The sequence below is a fragment of the Homo sapiens genome, chromosome 7 (genome assembly GCF_000001405.40).
Source record: "Homo sapiens chromosome 7, GRCh38.p14 Primary Assembly".
In the NCBI taxonomy this organism is placed as follows: domain Eukaryota; kingdom Metazoa; phylum Chordata; class Mammalia; order Primates; family Hominidae; genus Homo; species Homo sapiens.
The window spans coordinates 649,406-673,235 of NC_000007.14; the positions used below are offsets into that span (position 1 = coordinate 649,406).

General features: G+C 53.2%; 1 protein-coding gene across 9 annotated transcripts in view, besides 1 other annotated feature; it reads right to left on the reverse strand.

The window, feature by feature from the left end:
- PRKAR1B (protein kinase cAMP-dependent type I regulatory subunit beta) overlaps positions 1–23,830 on the reverse strand; it is a 179,738-nt gene that overhangs the window by 100,209 nt on the left and 55,699 nt on the right. The gene's annotated exons all lie outside the window — the stretch shown is intronic.
- Positions 1,934–3,133: an enhancer, noted in NCBI's record as "BRD4-independent group 4 enhancer chr7:690976-692175 (GRCh37/hg19 assembly coordinates)". NCBI's record gives its function as "activates an origin of replication core promoter dependent on BRD2, P300/CBP, MED14 and CDK7 cofactors, and independent of BRD4, by STARR-seq in HCT116 cells {active_cell/tissue: HCT116}" and the evidence as "EXISTENCE:reporter gene assay evidence [ECO:0000049][PMID:35650434]".

Below are 23,830 nucleotides of genomic sequence, written 5' to 3' on the forward strand. Positions count from 1 at the left end.
TTCTTCAGGATTTCTTTTTAGTGTTAGCAGACAGTTAACTAAACGTTTATACATTAACATTTTTGGTAAGTAATTATTCAATTGAAGAAGTAAAGCTATTTTCGAAATACATCATTTAGTGTGTTTTATATTTACACTGATTTATATGTAGCGCCTTATTTATTTATTTATTTATTTATTTTTATTTTTTGAGACAGGGTCTTGCTCTGTTGTCCAGGCTGGATTGCAGTGACGACCCTGGGTCACTGCAGCCTCCAACTCCCAGACCCAAGCGATCCTCCCATCTCAGCCTCCTGAATAGCTGCATGAGCCACCAGGCCTGGCTAATTTTTTGTTCTTTGCAGAGATTAGTGTCTTGCTATGTTGCCCAGGCTGCTCTCAAAGTCCTGGACTGAAGCGATCCCCCCATCTCAGCTTCCTGAGTAGCTGGGACCACAGGCAAGCACCACCACACCTGGCTAATTTTCTGTTTTTTTGTAGAGCTTGAGGTCTTGCTATGCTGCCCAGGCTATGTTCACGTGATCCTCCTGCCTCAGCCTCCTGAGTAGCTGCATGAGCCACCAGGCCCAGCTAATTTTTTTTTTTTTTTTTTGTAGAGATTAGGGTCTTGCTATGCGGCCCAGGCTGGTCTCAAACTCCTATGCTCAAGTGATCCTCCTGCCTCAGCCTCCTAGAGCTCTGGGATTACAGGCATCAGCCATCATGCCCAGCCTGTAGTGCCTTGTTTATAAGAAGCATCTGGCCATGCCGTTGTGAGGTGACTGCAATCTGTGCAGGCAGGACCCAGGTGTGTGAGTGAGTGTGCCTTCTCTGATGAAGAGGACAGGTGGCCTCAATGGCAGTTCTGAGAATGCAGACCTGGGACTGTGGACCCTGTCTGAGGGACCCTAGAGGGTCTGCATCCCAAGGGTCTGTGTGCCCTGCTGGAAAACCACAGCCCCCAGAGCCACTGCCACCCCAACTCAGCCCCTCCCTCCCTCCCTGCTCACTCCACCTGATCAGTTCCAACCACGAAAGGCTCTTTCCAGCCCTCCAGCCTTCACACCGGCTGCACCTCCGAACCTCCAGCTCTGGGCTGCAAACACCCCCTCCTCTGGGAGTCATTCCTGGCTCTGGTGCCCTCACCCACTGCCTGCCTGGTGCACTTCTGGCACAGCCTCCCGCCCCTGCACACGTCCCGCCATTGCCACCCGAACAGCGTGGGGCACCTGTGGAATGGAGGCGCAATGGCGGTGGGTGGGGGCTCTGCCTGGGGACAGCCCCTTTTCTGCCTTTGACTGCGCCAACTTCAAGGACAGAGGGAACAGGCCTGAAGCTCAGAGAGGTCATGTCATTTGCAAAGGTCACGTGGCCCACAGGCAGCTCAGAGACGTCACGTCATTTGCCAAGGTCACGTGGCCAGCAGGCAGCAGGCTGGGACCGAGCCCAGAGGCGTCTGAGGCAAAGCTGCTGCCTCCCTCCCTGCCCGTGCTGGCGGATGCCTGCGGGACTCATCCTGGAGCACCCCTGGCTCACCGGCCACCGAGAGCCCTGACTCAGCTTCTTCTGTGCAGCAAAACAGTCCTAAGCATCATCACCTCTCTGGACCAGGAAGCTCAGAGGCACAGAGGCTAGTCCAAGCCATTCAAGCCCTGCTGCCTTCTGGAAGCTTCCCCGGGTTCCTGCTTTGGTGCTGAAACTCCTTCAGGTCTGGAATTTGGGGGCTGCTCAAGAGCAGGTGCCAAATCTACTCTGCCCTGTCTCTGCCTCCTACAGGCACCCAGACAGGACCCAGCATACAGCCAGGCTCCTAGGGGCCTCTGGCCCTCAAGTCCGCAGGGACCTGCCATGAGGGGTGATTGCAAGGGGCAAACCAGGCTGTGCATGTAGCATGCCTATAGGGACGTGTGCCATGGAGGAAGCATGATCCATGTTGACTGACAAAGCCAGCCTGAAAATTCATACGAGTTCCATGTTCCTCGGAAAGGACCCCGAAACACATGATGCCTTACAGAGCTCTTCCACGAGGCTTTAGCAATCTCTGACTCCCAGGGCCCTGTGTTATTTATCACACAGACTTCACGTGTCAACAAAACACTCCCACTAGGAACCTGGGAAACCCCCTGTCAGAAGACAGTTCACACCCGTGCAGCGCTAGGAACCTGGGAAACCCCCTGTCAGAAGACAGTTCACACCCACACAGTGCTAGGAACCTGGGAAACCCCCTGTCAGAAGACAGTTCACACCCACACAGCGCTAGGAACCTGGGGAAACCCCTCTCGGAACACAGTTCACACCCACACAGCGCTAGGAACCTGGGGAAACCCCTCTCGGAAGACAGTTCACACCCACACGGAGCTAGGAACCTGGGGAAACCCCTCTCGGAACACAGTTCACACCCACACAGCGCTAGGAACCTGGGGAAACCCCTCTCGGAAGACAGTTCACACCCACACGGAGCTAGGAACCTGGGGAAACCCCTCTCGGAAGACAGTTCACACCCACACAACGCTAGGAACCTGGGGAAACCCCTCTCGGAACACAGTTCACACCCACACAGCGCTAGGAACCTGGGGAAACCCCTCTCGGAAGACAGTTCACACCCACACGGAGCTAGGAACCTGGGGAAACCCCTCTCGGAACACAGTTCACACCCACACAACGCTAGGAACCTGGGGAAACCCCTCTCGGAACACAGTTCACACCCACACAGCGCTAGGAACCTGGGGAAACCCCTCTCGGAAGACAGTTCACACCCACACAGTGCTAGGAACCTGGGAAAACCCCTCTCGGAACACAGTTCACACCCGCACAGCGCTAGGAACCTGGGGAAACCCCTCTCGGAACACAGTTCACACCCACACAGCGCTAGGAACCTGGGAAAACCCCTCTCGGAAGACAGTTCACACCCACGCAGCGCTAGGAACCTGGGGAAACCCCTCTCGGAACACAGTTCACACCCACACAGAGCTAGGAACCTGGGGAAACCCCTCTCGGAAGACAGTTCACACCCGTGCAGCACTAGGAACCTGGGGAAACCCCTCTCGGAAGACAGTTCACACCCACGCAGCGCTAGGAACCTGGGGAAACCCCTCTCGGAAGACAGTTCACACCCACACAGTGCTAGGAACCTGGGGAAACCCCTCTCGGAAGAAAGTTCATACCCACGCAGTGCTAGGAACCTGGGGAAACCCCTCTTGGAAGACAGTTCACGCTCACACAGGAGACTATTTTGTAAATCTGGAGGTTCTGCCCTAGGGACTGGCAGTCCAGGCTCACCATTTGTGATGTGGGAGTGTCTCGTTTTCCCAGCTTGCTGTCCAGGGTCGCTGGAAGGGATAGAGATTTGGAGCCAGAGACAATTCCCAACCCATTCAATAAGGATTTCTTGGCTCCAATAACTGGTACTCGGGTATTTTGGTTATTTATTGTTACATAACAAACCACCTCAAACAGAGTGCCTTGACAAAAAAATTCACTCTTCCTCATGGTTCTGTGGGTTGATGGGGCAGGCCTCCTCCCTCCCATGGTGTTGGCTGGGATGGCTGATTTCCACACAGGGTGGTTGGTGGTGGCCACCGGCCTGGCACTCAGGGATGCCACTGGCCAGGAGTCCCAGCTCCACCCCCAGGAGTCCCTCCACATGACTGCTTGGGCTTCCCCACTGCATGGTGGCTGGGCGCCAAGAAGGACCCGCTCCCAGTGGACAAGTGCTTCTCCAGCCTCTCCTGGCATCACACTTGCTAATGTACCATTGGCCAAACCCAGCCACACAGCCAGGCCCAGAGCCAACGCAGAAGGAACTACACAAGTGGGGAGCCAGGCCAGTGTCTGAGGCTCTTTGGGGGCCACCAATGTCAAGTACACCATAGGGAACCTTGGGGTGGGTTGAATTCAGGAATTCAACGAGGCCTTCAAAGACCCAGGTTCTGTCCATTTCTGTACTTTGCAGCAGCAGCCTCTTCCCAACACTGCCTCCCAAGCTTCCCATTCACCCACCTCATCGTTCAGAAGGAAAGTGAGGGCTGGCTTCCAGAAGTGTAGTTATCCCCAGGGAGCAAGGTCCCTTTCCCAGAAGCCTTTAGTAAACTCTCTTTGCTTCTCATGGGACCACTGCTAAGCAAGGCCACCTGGCCACTGGACAGGGGCCTCAGGAACTGTCCTGAGCTGGTTGGCTTAGTCTTGGGTTACCTGATCCAGTCACAGTCGTTGATGGATGGACTCATCCAGAATGGGCTAAAATAAGGGCTACTCCAAAAGCTCATGGTAGATTCAATCCCCTCCCAAACCACATGGTGCTACATAGCTGGGGAGGGGTGGGAATAATGGAGAATCAACTCCAACATCCATTGCAGATGATTTCTAGGAAAGCACAACAAGAGGCCAAATGGGTTATATACACTTAATGTGGTGTTATAACTAGTGCTCATCACCCTTATTACCATGATAATTATCATCATCACTATCACCATCATCACCAACATCACCATCATCACCTTCATCACCATCACTACCATCATCACCATCACCTTCACCATCACCACCACTATCTTCATCTCCATCACCATCATCACCATCATCATCCCTTCATGATCATCATCATTGCCGTCTTCATCACCATCTCTATCTTCACCACCGTCACCATCATCATCACCATCCTTATCACTTCACAATCACCATCTTCATCACCATCACCATCTTCATCACGATCCTCACCATCCTCCTCACCATCTTCATCACCATCACCATCATCACCATCATTTCTTCACAATCACTATCATTGCCATCTTCATCACCATCACCATCTTCACCACTATCACCATCATTATCACCATCTTCATCACCATCATCACCATCCTCATCACCATCATCACCATCCTCATCACCATCTTCACCACCATCACCATCATCACCATCTTTATCACCATCATCACCATCCTCATCACTATCCTCATCACCATCTTCATCTCCATCACTGTCATTACCATCATCATTTCTTCACAATAACTATCATTGCCATCTTCATCACCATCACCATCTTCACTACTATCACCATCATCATCACCATCTTCATCACTACCATCACCAAATCACCATCTTCATCCCCTCACTATCACCATCACTGCTATCTTCATCACCATCATCACCATCCTTATCACCTTCACCATCACCATCATCACCATTTACATCACCATCACCATCTTCACCACCTTCACCATCACCATCATCACCATCCTCATCACCTTCATCATCACCATCATTGCCATTTTCATCACCATCAATATCTTCACCATCACCATCCTCATCACCTTCACCATCACCATCATCACCATCTACATCATCACCATCCTCATCACCGTCACCACCATTCTTATCACCTTCACCATCACCATCTTCATCACCATCACTATCACCATTTTTATCACCATTACCATCAACTTTAACATCACCACCATCATCACCACCAACACTCATTATCACCATCACCACCATCAACATCATTGTTATCATTGCCGTTGCCTCCAAGGAATCTCATAACCAAGAGAGGAGCCCAGCACTGGAAACAAACCTCATAGCTGAACCATCTCAGGCTAGACAGGGCCCCTTTCTTTAGAATCAACTAACCACTTACCACTGCCAGTGGTACTGCCCTGATCCCAGAAATCAGCATCTCCTGCCTGGAATTAGCAAAACAACCTCTTAACTGGGTTTTCCACTTCTGCCCTTGTCCCCCTACCTTCTATTCTTAGTGGAGAGCCAGACAGACCCTGCTAAATAAAACATGTAAGAGCCGACATGCTATGCCTTCTAGGGCCTCCCATCTCAGAATAAAAGCCAAAGTCCTTGCAGTGACCCAGAATGCCCTACAAGATCTGGCGCCTCTTCCTCTGTGTTTTCATCACCTGTCAATGGCCTCTTCCCAGGCTCTGCTCTGGCTTCACTGGCCTCCTTGTTAATTCTTGGACAACCAGGCATGCCCCTGACCACAGGGCCTTTGCACCTGCCCTCCTGCTGCCGGCAATGCTCTTTCCCCAGATAAATTCCTGGTTCACTTCCTCTTTCCCCCAGGTATTTCCTCAATCTTCCCTTCTCAGCATGGCTTTTCCAGGCCCCCCTCCAAAACTGCATCCCCATCCCCTGCATCATCTTGTGTTTCTTTTTGGCACTTCTTACTGCCTCATCCTATATTCTAACAATTTATTTCATTTACTCATTGTCTCTTCCATTAGAAAAGAGTTGAGTAAAGCCAGGTATGGTAGGGGTGGTCTGTGTTGCGCATCTTGTATCTGCAGCCCCTCGGGCAGGGCCTGGCCTGAAGGAGATCCTCACTAAACATTTGTTGAATGAATGAGTGAGTGTAGCTTCCATCCTAGTGGAGCACCTCCAACTGCCACATATGATTCAGAGTTGGTTCCCTGATTGATGAGAGCATGCCCCAAGTGAGTCTCTCCAACCTCAGTTACCCTCTGGGTGAAACAGAGCAAATGACGCCCCTACTTCCTGGGTCCATTGGGGAGTTACATGAGACAGCATGTGAGGCTGCTCTCTGGGATACAAGGTCTGCCCCCGCGTAAGTGGTTGGGTTTCTCACTGAGTCAGAAAAATCCATTTATGAGCCTTTGAAAGACAAAGATCCACCTCCACCTCCCCAGAAAGTCATTTTCTCCTTGGGCTCTCCTCCCACTTGTGTCTACATCTGTGAGCACGATTTCCAGCACTGGGCACAGAGGAGATCCAACCAGGATTTACTGGATGGGTGAATGAATGGATGGGTGCCTGAGTGAATGTGTGGAGGGGTGAATGAATGAATGGAAAAATGAATGAATGGATAAATGAGTGACTGAATGGATGGATAAATAGGTGAATTAGTGGATGGGTGGGTGAATGCATGGATGGATGAATGAGTGGATACATGAGCTAATGAATGAATGAATGGGTGAATGAATGGATGATGCATGGGTGAATGTATGGATGCATGAATGAATGGATGACTGACTAGATGAATAGATGAAGAAATGAATGTATGAATGGATAGATAAATGAATGGATAAGTGGGTGAATGAATGAGTGGATAAATGAGTGAATGGATGACTGGATGGATGTATGAGTGAATGTGTGGATGGATGACTAAATGTATGGATAAGGGGGGAATTAATGGATGAGTGAGGGAATGGATGGATGGATGGATGGATGAATGAATGGATAAATGGAACAAAGGAATGGATGCATAAGTGAATGCGTAGATGAATGAATGAATGAGTGAATGGATGAATAAGTGGGTGAATGAATTAATGGATTCATGAGTGAATGGATGGATAAATGGGTGAACAAATGAGTGGATGGATGTGTAAATGCATGGATGGATGAATGAATGAATGGATAAATGTCTGAACAAAGGAATGGATGCATGAGTGAATGTGTGGATAGATGAATGAATGAGTGGATGCATGAGTCAATGTGTGGATGGGTGAATGAATGAATGGGTGAACAGATGAATGGATGCATGAGTGAATGCATGGATGGACGGACGGATGGATGAATGAATGAATGAGTGAACGAATGAATGGATGCATGAGTGAATGCATGGATGGACGGACGGATGGATGAATGGATGGATGGATGGACGGATGGATGGATGAATGAATGAATGAGTGAATAAATGAATGGATGCATGAGTGAATGCATGGATGGGTGAATGAATGAAAGGATGCATGAGTGAATGCATGGATGGATGGATGGATAGATGGATGAATGAATGAATGAATGAGTGAACAAATGAATGGATGCATGAGTGAATGTGTGGATGGGTGAATGAAGGAATTGATGCATGAGTGAATGTGTGCATGGATGGATAAATGAATGGATGGATGAATGGACGGACGGATGGATGGATGGATGGATGGATGGATGGATGGATGAATGAATGAGTGAACAAATGAATGGATGCATGAGTGAATGTGTGGATGGGTGAATGAAGGAATTGATGCATGAATGAATGTGTGCATGGATGGATGGATGGATGGATGGATGGATGAATGAATGAATGGGTGAATGATTCATGCTGACCTCTTCTCCCTCAATACCCCATATTTAGACTCAATTAACTCAGAGGACTTCGTGTCTCTGGTCAAGAAGTAAGAAGGCATTTTTTCACCGTTAGAAAATACAAAGCTATGGGGGTGGTGGACAGGAATGAGGGGCAGTACCCAGCGGCGCCAGGGGCTGAGGCGCCGTTTTGGGCAGTCTGAATATTTGGACATAGCAGCCGACAGGACACCCTGTCCTTCCACAGCTGTTCCTGGGAGTCAAAGCACATCTTTGTTTGTGGGACTCTTAGCAACTGTTGCTTTTTTTGAAGGACAAGCATGAACCAGCTGTCACCACACAAGACGTAAAGCAGAAAATGTCGAGTCTTCAGCAACAGGCTTGTAAAACAAGAAGAAAATAATTGTCTGGGCTCAGGGGCGCTTTCATTTCTTCTCACAGCCTCCACCTCCTCATGAACCAGCGAGGCTTGCGTAATTCCCACTGAGCCCAGCTTTGCAGCAGCAGAAAGAAGCTCAGAAGCAGACCCACCTTCTAAAGAGGCTCCCAATTAAATGCAGAGAGAAATGCAAACCCGACAAGCAAGGCCCACGTCAGAAACACAGGCCGAGACAGCAGCTCCGTGAGCCAGCATATGGACGGCGAATGTGCTACCCCAACCTCACCTATCCACAGTGATGTGATTATGAAGACAAGAAACTAGATCAAAAATTAGCAACTTGGCGGGGTCCGGTGGCTCACACCTGTAATCCCAGCACTTTGAGATGCCAAGGAGGGAGCACTGCTTGAGGACAGGAGTTCAAGACCAGCCTGGGCAACACAGCGAGACCCCCATCTCTACAAAAAAAATTAAAAATTAGCCAGGCATGGTGGTGCACACCTGTAGTTCCAGCTACTAGGAGGCTGAGGCAGGAGGATCACTGGAGCCCATGAGGTGGGGGCTGCTGTGATTTATGACTGCACCACTGTGCTCCAGCCTGGGCAATAGAGTGAGACCTTGTCTCAGAAAAAAACAAAGTTAGCATCTTACACTGAAATATTCACAGACAAAATGATCTGATGGCTGAGGTTTGCTTCAAAATAGATCAGGGTCGGGAGAAAGTGGGAGGGAAGAGAGATGAGAGCAGCCTGAACATGACCTTGTGCTATGGAAGCCGGCGGCTCACGAAAGCCACTCTTCTTTCATATACTTTTGAAGTTTTCCACGATAAAATGTTTTTTGTTTTTTGGGTTTTTTTGAGATAGAGTCTTACTCTGTTGCCCAGGCTGGAGTGCAGTGGTGCATTCTCAGCTCACTGCAACCTCCACCTCCCTGGTTCAAGTGATTCTCCTGCCTCAGCCTCCTGAGTAGCTGGGACTACAGGCACCCACCATCATGCCAGGCTAATTTTTGTATTTTTAGTAGAGACAGGGTTTTGTCATGTTGGACAGGCTGGTCTCAAACTCCTGGCCTCAAGTGATCCACCCACCTCAGCCTCCCAAAATGCTGGGGTTATAGACATGAGCCACCGTGCCTGGCCTAATGTTTTTAAAAAAATATTATCTCGCAGTCATTTGTAAGCTAAGAAAGAGTCACCAACATGGGTCTCATGACACCAGGCAAATAAAAACCTCACACACACAGCACAGACACTCTGCGGAGATGTGCAGGACGGCTCACAAACCATGAGGATGACACAATCCTAAGACGCTGGTCTCTACCAAAACTGCATCCCCACCCCCTGCACCACCTTGTGTTTCTTTTCAGCACGTCTCACTGCCTCATCCTATATTCTAACAATTTATTTCATTTACTTATAGTCTCTTCCATTAGAAAAAAGCTCAGTAAAGCCAGGTACGGTAGGGGGTGGTCTGTGTTGCGCATGCAGTATCTTCAACCCCTCGGGCGGGGTCTGGCCTGAAGGAGATGCTCACTAAACACCTGTTGAATGAATGAGTGAGTATAGCTTCCATCCTAGTGGAGCACTTCCAACTGCCACATATGATTCAGCCCACAGGCACCGAAGTGACCACGAAAGGGGGAGAGGAGGGCACCCACATGGTGGCCGCACACGCCGTCCCGAGCCGGAATATTCTGCGCATGCAGGCAGCTGTGAGGAAGGGAGCTGGGAGCCAATGGGGAGAGGAGAAACAACAACACTGGTGAGGCAAGAAGACGACGGCTGCAAAAACCAGCCCAGGGAGGAAACCCCAGGCCGCGACCATGGACACCGGCAGGACAGCAAGAGGCTGCTTCCTCCACAGCTCTGCACGTCCAGACGCATGGGCCTTGTGAGGGCTTTTGTTTTTGTTTTTGTTTTTGAGACGGAGTCTCGCTCTGTCGCCCAGTGCAGTGGCGCGATCTCGGCTCACTGCAGTCTCCACCTCCCGGGCTTAAGCGACCTGCCACCTCAGCCTCTGGAGTAGCTGGGACCACAGGTTTGTGCTACTGTGCCTGGCCCAGATTCCCAGATTTTTATTACAATAAAAAAATGTAATGTTAAGGAAGAGAAGGGGGAGGAGGAGCTGCCCCCAGTCCTGTAGATCTCCCCAGTGAGCAGAAAATGTTTGAGCCCTTGAGGCACGAGGAGCCAGTGGCCTCTCTCCCTTTAGTGACAAAGGCTCTAGGCTCTCCCAGCAGGAGAGAGGTGCCGCCGCCTTGGGCTCTCCATCCCCTACTCGGAGTCAGTGGGGAAGCGACTCCCCTCCCCAGGACAGTTCCCTCCTGCAGAGAGGGGAGGAGCCCATGAGCCCATCCCAGCCTTCTCCCGGCTCCATGTTCCGGGTTCTGGTTCCACCCAGGCCTGGCATCACCTCCCTGCTCAGTCTCCCCGGGGACATGGGCCCACCGAGTTCCCGTCTACCATAGCTCAATGGGGCCCAAGTCTGTGAGCCTGCTGCCTCTCGACACCTCCCCGGGTGCCACAGGCCCCGCTCCAACGGGTCCAAATACCTACAATCCCTCCCATGGCACAGGTCCCCACCCCAACAGATCCAAATACCTACTCTCCCCCCAGTGCCACAGGCTCCCCACCCCAACGGGTCCAAATACCTACTCTGCCCCCAATGCCACAGGTCCCCACCCCAACAGATCCAAATACCTACTCTCCCCCCCATGGCACAGGTCCCCACCCCAACGGGTCCAAATACCTACTCTCCCCCCCATGGCACAGGTCCCCACCCCAACAGATGCAATTACCTACTCTCCCCCCCATAGCACAAGTCCCCACCCCAACAGATCCAAATACCTACTCTCCCCCCCATGCCACAGGTCCCCACCCCAACAAATCCAAATACCTACTCTCCCCTCCATGGCACAGGTCCCCACCCCAACGGGTCCAAATACCTACTCTCCCCTCCATAGCACAGGTCCCCACCCCAACAGATGCAAATACCTACTCTCCCCCCCATGGCACAGGTCCCCAACCCAACAGATCCAAATACCTACTCTGCCCCCCATGGCACAGGTCCCTACTCCAACGGGTCCAAATACCTACTCTCCCCCCATGGCACAGGTCCCCAACCCAACGGGTCCAAATACTTACTCTTCCCCTCCATGGCACAGGTCCCCACCCCAACAGATCCAAATACCTACTCTCCCCCCCATGGCACAGGTCCCCACCCCAACGGATCCAAATACCTACTCTCCCCCCCATGGCACAGGTCCCCACCCCAACGGGTCCAAATACCTACTCTCCCCCCCATGGGACAGGTCCCCACCCCAACGGGTCCAAATACCTACTCTGCCCCCCATGGCACAGGTCCCCACCCCAACGGGTCCAAATACTTACTCTTTCCCTCCATGGCACAGGTCCCCACCCCAACGGGTCCAAATACCTACTCTCCCCCCCATGGCACAGGTCCCCACCCCAACGGATCCAAATACCTACTCTCCCCCCCATGGCACAGGTCCCCACGCCAACGGGTCCAAATACCTACTCTCCCCACCATGGCACAGGTCCCCACCCCAACAGATCCAAATACCTACTCTCCCCCCACCATGGCACAGGTCCCCACCCCAACGGGTCCAAATACCTACTCTCCCCCCCATGGCACAGTTCCCCACCACAACGGGTCCAAATACTTACTCTTCCCCTCCATGGCACAGGTCCCCACCCCAACAGATCCAAATACCTACTCTCCCCCCCATGGCACAGGTCCCCACCCCAACGGGTCCAAATACCTACTCTCCCCCCCATGGCACAGGTCCCCACCCCAACGGGTCCAAATACCTACTCTCCCCCCCATGGCACAGGTCCCCACCCCAACAGATGCAAATACCTACTCTCCCCCCCATGGCACAGGTCCCCACCCCAACGGATCCAAATACCTACTCTCCCCCGCAAGGCACAGGTCCCTACTCCAACAGGTCCAAATACCTACTCTCCCCCCCATGGCACAGGTCCCCACCCCAACGGGTCCAAATACCTACTCTCCCCCGCAAGGCACAGGTCCCTACTCCAACAGGTCCAAATACCTACTCTCCCCCCCATGGCACAGGTCCCCACCCCAACGGGTCCAAATACCTACTCTTCCCCTCCATGGCACAGGTCCCCACCCCAACGGGTCCAAATACCTACTCTCCCCCACATGGCACAGGTCCCCACCCCAACGGATCCAAATACCTACTCTCCCCCCCATGGCACAGGTCCCCACCCCAACGGGTCCAAATACCTACTCTCCCCCCCATGGCACAGGTCCCCACCCCAGTGGGTCCAAATACTTACTCTTTCCCTCCATGGCACAGGTCCACACCCCAACAGATCCAAATACCTACTCTCCCCCCCATGGCACAGGTCCCCACCCCAACGGGTCCAAATACCTACTCTCCCCCACATGGCACAGGTCCCCCACCCCAACGGGTCCAAATACCTACTCTCCCCCGCAAGGCACAGGTCCCTACTCCAACAGGTCCAAATACCTACTCTCCCCCCCATGGCACAGGTCCCCACCCCAACGGGTCCAAATACCTACTCTTCCCTCCATGGCACAGGTCCCCATCCCAACGGGTCCAAATACCTACTCTCCCCCCAGTGCCACAAGTTCCCCACCCCAACGGGTCCAAATACCTACTCTCCCCCCCATGCCACAGGTCCCCACCCCAACAGATCCAAATACCTACTCTCCACCCAGTGGCACAGGTCCCCACCCCAACAGATGCAATTACCTACTCTCCCCCCCATAGCACAAGTCCCCACCCCAACAGATCCAAACACCTACTCTCCCCGCCATGCCACAGGTCCCCACTCCAACAGATCCAAATACCTACTCTCCCCTCAGTGGCACAGGTCCCCACCCCAACAGATCCAAATACCTACTCTCCCCATGCCTGAGCTCCCCTCCAGTCCCACGGGCACCCACAGCAGAGTCTGAGCAAGTCTCCTGGGACACCCTCCAAGCAATGCTGAGTCCTGGGCCCCAGCCTCCAAAGCTCCCCCCACCACCTGGGGCCCAGGCTCTCACCCTCGGAGCGGCCACAGCAGGGGCCTTCCAGAAGCACCACCCTGTTCATCACCCTCTTCCTTCCTAACATTTTCTGATGCTTTCAAACAGACTGAAACCCAGAAAAGATCTAAGAGTGTTCAATGAACAGACAGGACAGAGTCCTGAAAGAGGCCCCAAGACACTCAGGAACTTAGTCCCCCCTCTTCTTTGCCTGGAAAATCCCTTGTGGATGTGGCTGAAGTTTCACTAGGTCTGATGAACAAGGGCCCACCCGCGGGAAGAATCAGTCACTTCCTCAGTGGTCCAGCAGCAACTATCACACCCATGAGACAACCAGACAATAATCCACTTTTTATTGATGTGTGTTTATTTTTACTTATTTTTCTTTTTGAGACAGGGTCTTGCCCTGTCACCCAGGCTGGAGAGAGGAGTGGTGCAATCACAGCTCACCGTAGCTTCAACCTCCCAGCCTCAAGCAATCCTCCCACCTCAGCTTCCTGAGTAGCTGCAACTACAGGTGCATGCCACCATGCCCAGCTAATTTTTTAATTTTTAGGAGGAGGGTAGAGATGGGGTCTTGCTATGCTGCCCAGGCTGGTCTCAAACTCCTGGGCTCAAGCAATCCCCCTGCCTCAGCCTCCCAAAGTGCTGGGATTACAGGCGTGAGCCACCGTGCCCGGCCCATTCACTTTTAAAATACTGGTCCCTACTAGAAAAGAAAAGGCTCTCGGTCAGGAGGGGAGGGGACGGCTGTGTCCCAGGGTCCTGGCCCTACACAGACCGTGGTCAAACCAGGGTGCATGTGGTGGTCTGGGCAGCAGCGGTGGCCCGAAGCAGGTGGCCACAGCTCTCCGTGTGTCAGATCCTCACCTGGAACTTGGGGACAGTGTTACCACGTGCCCTCAGGGCTGCCATCAGGACAGCGAGACAGCACACTCACAGCTCTCAGCCACACACCTGACCCCAAGCAGAACTCAGGGAGCGTGAGTTACAACTGCCTCCCGAATCGGAGTGGCTTCCTCATTCTGCAGGGAGCAGACAGGTGGGCGTGCAGGGCCTGGTCTCAGGAGGGCTGATCTTTCCCACGGAAACCGTGTGACCTGGGCAAGCCCCCCGCTGTCTCTGAGCCTCAGGGTCCCCCCCGACAAGTGGGAACAGGGTCACCAAATTGCTGACAAGATGCTTTGTATTACAAGGAGCCCCATAGGGCCAGGACCAGCTCGACGGTTACATTCCCCTCCATGGAGGGCCCTCCCCACGCAACCTTCCCTTCGCCTGGCCTCTCTCCACAGACCCCCATCCCCAGCCAGCTGGTGAATTCCTCACACCCGCTGGCAGGCGACGGGGCTATTTTTAGTGACCAGGGCTCAAGAATGGAGCCATGCCAGGACCCATGGCGTCCGTCGGAATGTGAAAGCTGGTGCATCCCTCCTTCTGGTCGCTATGTGGTCCCCGACACAGCACAGTGGCCAGTGCTGCACCAGGGCTTAGCCTCAGGCCTGCATGAACACAGCCTCTGCCCTGGCACCCTCCATCTGAAGGACAGCCCCATTCCCTGCCCGGGGCAGTGGGCCTTCCTGCACCTTCTCTGGGCCTCGGGTCCCCATCCACATACTGGGTGCTGGAGGCAGAGGCCACGTGCAGCATCTCAGCCCCCAGGTCTGCAGGGGCTTGTCAGTGACAACAAAACGTGAACTGGCTAGGGGTCAGAAGATGTGGTACCGGAGACCACACACCACCAAATTCCACAAGTTTCAAAATGTTACAGCAGCTGCTGGGTGTGGTGGCTCATGCCTGCAATCCCAACACTATGGGAGGCTGAGGCCAGAGGATCGCTTGAGCCCAGGAGGCTCAAGTCCAGCCTGGGCAACACAGCGAGACTCTGTCTCTACAAAAACTAAAAAAAAAAAATAGCTGGGTGTGGTGGTGCACGCCTGTGGCCCCAGCTAGTCGGGAGGCTGAGGCAGGAGGATCACTTGAGCCCAGGAAGTCGAGGCTGCAGTGAGCCAAGATCGTGCCACTACACTCCAGCCTGAGCAACGGAGCAAGACTGTGTCTCAAAAAAACAAAAACAAAAATCTCAGGGCACCAAACAGCCAGGACCACAGGCAAGATCCACGCAGGCCACGATCACCTGGGGGAAGTGGTAAGAAAGACCTGAGGTTCTTCTCTCCACTCACAAATCAGACAAAGCAAGAGGGCTTGTTGTCACTGTGGTATTAGATAGCGCCAGCCCTGGAGACCCTTTGAAACAGGCTCCACGGAGAGCTGCAACTGCCCCGCAGCTCCAGGCGCAGGCCACGAGACTTGTTATTAGCTGGAAAACGCTAGGCGTGTGGAAAATGACTGTTCTCTTAAAAAGGTTGTTGTCTTTTCCCGGCAGGTTAATGAGCTGTGTGTGCATTCACGGTGGGCAAGTCAGCCCCAAGCAGCCACATCCCAGCCAGGTCAAAGTCCCAGCTTCTACTCCAAGCTGGGTGGCCCGACGCAGCCTGCTTAACCTCTCTCTGCCTCCCCTGCCAAACGGCAGCCTCGGGGGCCACGGGGGAGCTCTAGAAAGACAACATGCCCGAGGCCCATGGCCCAGGGACTGGCCATTGCATACATCATCTGATGCAAGCTTCAAACCCCAGGCTTCAGCCTCCGTTGAATTCAGCTTCTAAAGCCTCCCGGGCTCACGTGGCCCCTGATTTGCTAACCTCAAGGTCTCCTCTGCTGAGATCCAGCTGGGCTTTCTGCAAATGGAAATCAAATTCTTTGCATGTTCAAGCCATTAAGCATCTCCTCGGATGAGGCCCTGCATTTTCCAAAATGCTAATTTTGTTTTTTTAATGTTGCCCGAAAGGGAAGCAGAAAGTCCCAAAGCCCAAGCCAGAATGGGGAGAGGGGGCCGTGAAGGCTCAGAGAAGCCAGGAGACAGCTCCCTTCAGCTGCCCGTGAATTCGGCAGAAGGGCTTGTTTTTCCCATCACCTGAGGATCCGAGCCAGTTTGTGGAAAAACAGACTGCAGAGATACGCGGGTGGGAGGAAGAGAAACAGCGACAGATAACAGACAGCTGCGCAGGCCAGCGGTGCTGCTCAAGCCAGAGGCCTGTTTTAATTAAAGCAGCAGAGAGCTGGAGCCACTGCCAGGAAGGCCGCCTCAAGGGTGAGGTGCCCTCGCCTGTGCCCGTCTGGCAGCTCCAGTAATGAGGTCCCCGCCGGAGGCCCAACGCACAACACAAACACGCACGGTGCCACCCAATTATCACGTTTCTCGGCTCCCAGGAGCTCAGCGATGCTCCCCCTACAGGCGCCCTAATCAGGGAAAGCCGGGAAGGGACCGGGATAGAACCCAAGGGCCTCCACCTCACTCCCCAAGGCCTGGGACACACGCTCCAGGGACAGCCTTCATGGTCCTGGCACATCAGAGAGCTCCGGAACATGCGGGGCTGCTTCCCTGGGACACACGCTCCAGGGACAGCCTTCATGGTCCTGGCACATCAGAGAGCTCCGGAGCACGCGGGGCTGCTTCCTGAGGCTGCTGAGGTCCCTGGCCGAGGCGTAACTGCCCCGGGCACCCCAGGTAGGATGCGGAATCTGCTTCGCTCCAATAGCTGACACAAGGTGAGAAGGCTGCACCTACCACCACCCTGGGGCCTGCCCTGGGAGCTACTCAACTCTGCAGAGGGGCTGTGCAGGTGCCGTCCCAGGGGATAAGGACACCCCACTCCAGCCCCAGCTGGACAATTGCTGTGTGGGTCAGTGCAACAGGCCAAGGCCCCCTCTCACTGGGTCTCAGAGCTCTGTTCAGTACAGTGAGGTGGGGACAAGGTGGCCTCCTAGGGATCTTCCTGCTGACTGTGGGTGCTGGGAGGCCCGGAGCGGCCTATTCACCAACTCAGGCCCAGGGTGGAGCAGAGAATGACTCAAGGCTACCCCAGCCTCTTTCTCAGACCAAGTACTGAGTGGGGCCTGACTGCGGGGTCTGTCTGGATAGCCGGGCCAGCCTCCAAGGGGCAAGGCACCATCCAGAAGAAGTACCTTCATGGACTCCACTGCCACACAGCCAAAGGGCCACAGAAAGATGGTGATGACAATGACCACAACAGTGATGATGATGGCGGTGATGATGATGATGGTGATGATAAAGATGATGATGGCAATGGTGGTGATGAGGATGGTGGTGGTGATGGTGATGATGATAATGATGGTGATGATGACAGTGATGATGGTGATGGTGGGGATGGTGATGATGATGGTGGTGATAACGATGATGATGGCAATGGTGGTGATGAGGATGGTGGTGGTGATGGTGATGATAATGATGGTGATGATGACAGTGATGATGGTGATGGTGGGGATGGTGATGATGGTAATGGTGATGACTATGATGGTGATGATAATGATGGTGGTGATAACAGTACACACATAGATATTCTTGCTTTATATTCTCACAACAACCTCAAAGTAGGTTTTATTATCTTCATTTGACACCTGAGGAAACTGAGGCTCAGAGAATGTTATTACTTATAAATGACATCCACAACTCTCTCCTTCCAAAAGATGTTTTAAACACACCTTAAATTCTGTGGTATCTGAGTGAGATTGTGTGTGCATGACTGTGTGCATAGGCGTGCCTGGGAATAAGACCACTCCAGCCCAACACCTGTGTGATGGGAACTCCTGGTCCTGTCTCACCCCTGAGCTGTCTCCCTGCAGCTGCAGTTCACTACAGGACAGTATGGACCCCGCTCACTGGCAATGCCTAAATCACCCATTCTCAATCTTCCTTCACCATGCAGGCAGGGTAGCGGCAGGTGCAGGTGATGTGTCCTTACAGGGGAGGGAGCACAGGCTTAGGTGCCCAAGAACTCGAGCTCAAACCCTAGCTCTGCTCCTGAGGAGTTGTGGGGCCTTGGACAAGGACAGGGAAGGAAACTGAGGCTGTGAGGTTGACACTATGCCTCTCACAGATCCTGTGCAAAGGCCCAGGGAAACCCTTCGATCAAGGCCAACTAGCAATACCACCATCCTAGAAGGACAGGCAGGCGGTCTGGGGGAGTTGCAGCCTCCCTCACAACCACGTTGCACTATCTTCCTTTAAATCAAAGGTCTTAAACATAATTTCTACCCTTCTCCAAGCTTACGTATCTCTCGCACAACCTTATGTATCTCCCACACTGTTACGGATCGACAAGAGCAAAGTCACACAGCCTGTGATGATGGGGATATCTGTCTTGAACCTGAACTTGTACGGAGGGGTCATTAGGCCAGCAGGTGTGCAAACCCTGCAGGTGGATGCATCTGCAAAGGATTCTCTGCCGCACTCTTCCTAAGCGGGGAAGCAGAGAGAAGAAGAGCAGGCAGCCTCAAAGTCAGGGGTGTGCCAGACGCCCTGTAAACTTGGAAGGAATTTGGCTTTGCTCGCCAAACCACAGCTGAGCAGAGGCAAAGCTATGAAGCTCAGCTTCTAGTAAACTGGAAAAAGCAAACTATCTGGATGCTGCACAGGGGAGACATCACGTGAAAGGTCCAGAGACAATCCCTCCCCTGCCCACTCCCTCTGGAACCGGTTTCCTGAGCCATCAGCCTGTTTCTTTAGAGACCGTGGCCAGAAAAAGGAGCCCACTGGGGCTTCGATATGGAAAGTGAGTTTTCCTGTGTGCAAAACAAAAGAGCTGAAACCGACACACACACCCTGTGCAAAAGCTTCCTTTTCAAGCCAGCCTTACAAAGAGGAGTTTTTAAGCCAACCATCTGCTTCCTCTGTTTCTTGTCCGCGTAGCTCTCGGATCCAGAGGGGTCAGAGATGGAGGGCGCATGTCGTTCTGATTCTCAGGGCCAAGGGCACAGGACCCAGCACTGGACATAAACAGCTGGGATGGCCCAGAGATATCATTTGACTCAGCTCACACTCAGGGTCCAGGCTGGCCCTAAAATAAGAGCTTTACTGAACCTACCTAGAGCCTGGGAGCTGGGGAGGAGCCCAGAAAGGATTTGAGGAGTTTAGCTGAAACGCAGTTGCCACCAAGAGGGCACAGAAAGGAATGGGAGGCTCTGAGTTCGGTCAGGCTGGAAGGGAAGCACAATCTGTGGTTCCTCAAAAAGCTAAACATGGAACTACCATATGACCCGGCAATTCCATCCATCAGCATCTGCCCAGGAGACTCAAACAGACACCTGCACACCCATGTTCACAGCAGCACTAATCACAATAACCAAAAGGTGGAAACAACCCAAGTGTCCATCAGCAGACAAATGGATACACAAATGGGGTGTGGCCGTGGAGTGGAATATTACTCGGCCCTGAAAAAGGAAGAGAGCATTGATACATGCTATGCTGTGGATGCACCTTGAAAACACTGTGCTCAGTGAAAGAGCCCATCACGAAAGGTCATATATCATGGTTCATTTAAGTCCCATAATGACTTACATGAAATATTTAGAATAGGCAAGCTCATAGAAAGAGAAAGTAAATTGGGGCTATCAGGGGCCCAGGAGGGGGTGATAGGACTGACTGCTGAATAAGTGTGGGGCTTCCATTTGGAATGATGAAAATTTTGGAAACAAAGAGTGGTGATGGCAGCACACCATTGTGAATGTAACTAATGCCACTGAATTAAACACTTAAAAATGGCTAAAATGGGCTGGGTGCAGTGGCTCACACCTGTAATCCCAGCACTTTGGGAGGCTGAGGTGGGTGGATCACCTGAGGTCAGGAGTTCAAGACCAGCCTGGCCAACATGCTGAAACCCCATCTCTACTAAAAATACAAAAATTAGCCAGGTGTGGTGGCGCACACCTGTAATCTCAGCTACTCGGGAGGCTGAGGCAGGAGAATCACTTGAACCCAGGAGACGGAGGTTGCAGTGAGCCGAGATAGCGCCACTGCACTCCAGCCTGGGTGACAGAGTGAGACTCCATCTCAAAAAAAAAGAAAAGGTTAAAATTGCAAACTTTATGTGATATATATTTGCCACAATGAAAACAAGAGCGAGAGAGAAGGCTGGTGGGCAGGTCCACGTGCCATATTTTTTTTTTTTTTTTGAGACGGAGTCTTGCTCTGTCGCCCAGGCTGGAGTGCAGTGGCACGATCTCAGCTCACTGCAAGCTCCGCCTCCCAGGTTCACGCCATTCTCCTGCCTCAGCCTCCTTAGCAGCTGGGACTACAGGCTCCTGCCACCACGCCCAGCTGATTTTTTTTTGTATTTTTAGTAGAGACTGGGTTTCACTGTGTTAGCCAGGATGGTCTCAATCTCCTGACCTCGTGATCCACCCGCCTCGGCCTCCCAAAGTGCTGGAATTATGGACGTGAGCCACCGCGCCCAGCCCCACGTGCCATTTTTTTAGGGTTTGGATGTAAACATTGCACATGCAGGGAGGACAGATGTTGGAAATGAGATGGAGCTACAAGTTCATGAAACCCCACTTCATATTCCTCCTCCCTAGGCACCCAGGGAATGACTGCCCAGCATCCCTGCAACCACGCCAGGCCAGGGGACCAGTCCATGGCCCATGCTCACCTGTGACATGTGACAATTCTGGGCTGAGGTGGTGACAAGCCTGTGCCTCCATGAACATGGAAGCCCGTGTTGATAGCTGAGCCCAAGAGCTAGGCGGCCTGGGCCTCTGAGCTCCCCCATGCCACAGCGTCCAGCAGAGGGGCTCAGGACCGAGGACGGCCTCTGAGCTCCCCGACGCCACAGCATCCAGCAGAGGGGCTCAGGACCGAGGACGGCCTCCGAGCTCCCCCATGCCACAGCATCCAGCAGAGGGGCTCAGGACCGAGGACGGCCTCCGAGCTCCCCCACGCCACAGCATCCAGCAGAGGGACTCAGGACCCAGGACGGCCTCCGAGCTCCCCCACGCCACAGCATCCAGCAGAGGGACTCAGGACCGAGGACGGCCCCCGAGCTCCCCCACGCCACGGCATCCGGCAGAGGGGCTCAGGACCGAAGACGGCCTCCGAGCTCTCCCACGCCGTGGCATCCGGCAGCGGGGCTCCGGACCGAGGACAGCCTCCGAGCTCCCCCATGCCACGGCGTCAGGCAGAGGGGCTCAGGACCGAGGACACGGCATCAGCCCCAGATACCGGAGATGATCGTGGCTGCAGCACATCCCAGCCCATCTTCAGCCAGAGCTTTCCCGACCTCGGCGCTCTCAGTGACCCCAGGCTCATCAGCCAGAAGATGGGGACACAGATTTCGCGTGAGTGGTTCTGTCTGACAAATGGGTCAAGAGCTGAAGCGACCGTCCACCTCCTTCTTCCTCAGGTTGAGGACTTGAGGGTTTCTAAAGGGCCCTGAACACCACCCACCCTCCCCAACCCACCGCTTCTCCGTCCCTCCGTTGCCTTCATCGAGCTCCGCAGAATTCAGATTCTGAAGGTGGGCGTGGATGTCATTTGGCCAGAGCCGGGCTTTTGATAAGCTCTAAGCTCACGGGCTGCCTCTGGAGGGAACAGCTCAGGGGGCTCCCCACGCCCAAACATTTGCCTCTCACTGTGGCTACTTCAAGAGGAACGAGCCATGCAGAGGGACGGGTGAGTTCCAAGAAGCACCAGAACCCCTGGGAACTCCAAGCACATATCTGGGTGTTTGGGTGGGGTTTTGGGGGATTTTTTGTTTCTGCTTTTGTTTTCAGACAGGATCTCGCTCTGTTGCCCAGGCTAGAGTGTAGCGACACAATCTCGGCTCACTGTAGCCTTGAACTCCTGAGCTCGAGCACTCCTCCCACCTCAGCCTCCAGAGTAACTGGGATTATAGGCGTGTACCACCAGGCCCGGGTAATTTTTTTAAGAGATGGGGTCTCACTATGTTGCCCAGGTTAAGACACATATTTGAATCCCAGGAGGACATTGAGATCTCCATTTTCCTGGCTACCCTCCAAGTGATGCCTTGTTCCCTGTGGCCCCAGCACCCCCACAGGCAGCAGGTTCCTGCTGAAATGAACAAAGCTGTCCTACCATGTGTTCACCAGCTCTCCCCTGCCCCAGCCATGCCTGGAACGGGCCCCAGGCCCTTTGCTGCAGCTGTGCCATGCCTGGAACAGCCGTGCTGGCTCTCACCTTTCTGCCCATCCTGAATGAAGCCATCCCACTCTATGACGTGCAGGCCTCTCTCAATGTCCTTCACCACACACCATCTCTAAAAATGTATGTGCTTCATGACTGTGTGCTGCCTGCTCCCCGGAAGAGCCAGCCCCATGAGGACAGCACCCGTTCCCTACCCCCACTGTGTTCCCAGAACCCTGCACGGAGCCTGGCACACAATGAATCCTCTGGAAGTATTTGTCGTCTTAAATTCTGTGGAACCGAATTTGTTTTTTTTTTTAAGATGGAGTCTCGCTCTGTCGCCCAGGCTGGAGTGCAGTGGCATGATCTCGGCTCATTGCAATCTCCGCCACCCGGGTTCAAGCAATTCTCCCGCCTCAGTCTCCTGAGTAGCTGGGATTACAGGCATGCGCAACTGTGCTCAGCCTAATTTTTGTATTTTTAGTAGAGATGGGGATTCACCATATTGGCCAGGCTGGTCTTGAACTCCTGGCCTCAAGTGATCTGCCCACCTCAGCCTCCCAGAGTGTTGGGATTACAGGCATGAGCCACCGCACCCGGCCTTGTTGAACCAATTTTGAATTCAGGTGCAAAGCTGTGCTCCACCCACCGCACTGTTCCCACATGTGGGAATATTTGAGCCAGAAAAAGAAAACGTTGGATGGTCTTCATTACTGTTGCTAGAAATAAAAATAATAGCCAGGCGCGATGGCTCATGTCTATAATCCTAGCACTTTGGGGGGCTGAGGCAGGAGGATCACTTGAGGTCAGGAGTTCGAGACCAGCCTGGCCAACATGGTGAAACCCCATCTCTACTAAATATACAAAAATTAGCTGGGTGTGGTGGCACATGCCTATAATCCCAGCTACTTGGAAGGCTGAGGCAGGGGAATCGCTTGAACCCGGAGGCGGACATTGCAGTGAGCCAAGATTGCAAGACTGCACTCCCGCCTGGGCAAGAAGAGTGAAACTCCATCTCAAAAAAAGAAAAAATAATTTTTTTTTAATTAGCCAGGCATGGTGGTGCACACCTGCAGTCCCAGTTATTCAGGAAGTTGAGGTAGGAGAATCACTTGAGCACGGAAGGCCGAGGCTGCAGTGAGCTATGATGGTGCCACTGCACTCCAGCCTGGGTGAGAGAGTAAGGCCTTGTCTTTAAAAAAAAAAAAAAAAAAAAAAAAAAAAAAAAACACACACACACAGAATGGACAGCTGGTCTGTGTGGCCAGCAGCTGTGGACCAGGGACCTCCCGCTTCAGGGCTGACTCTGTCTGCAAAGAGGGAGCTGCAGAGGCTCTAGCAAGGCGCAGCTGGGACCAGAAAGGGCTCTCTCTTCCTCAGGGTCCC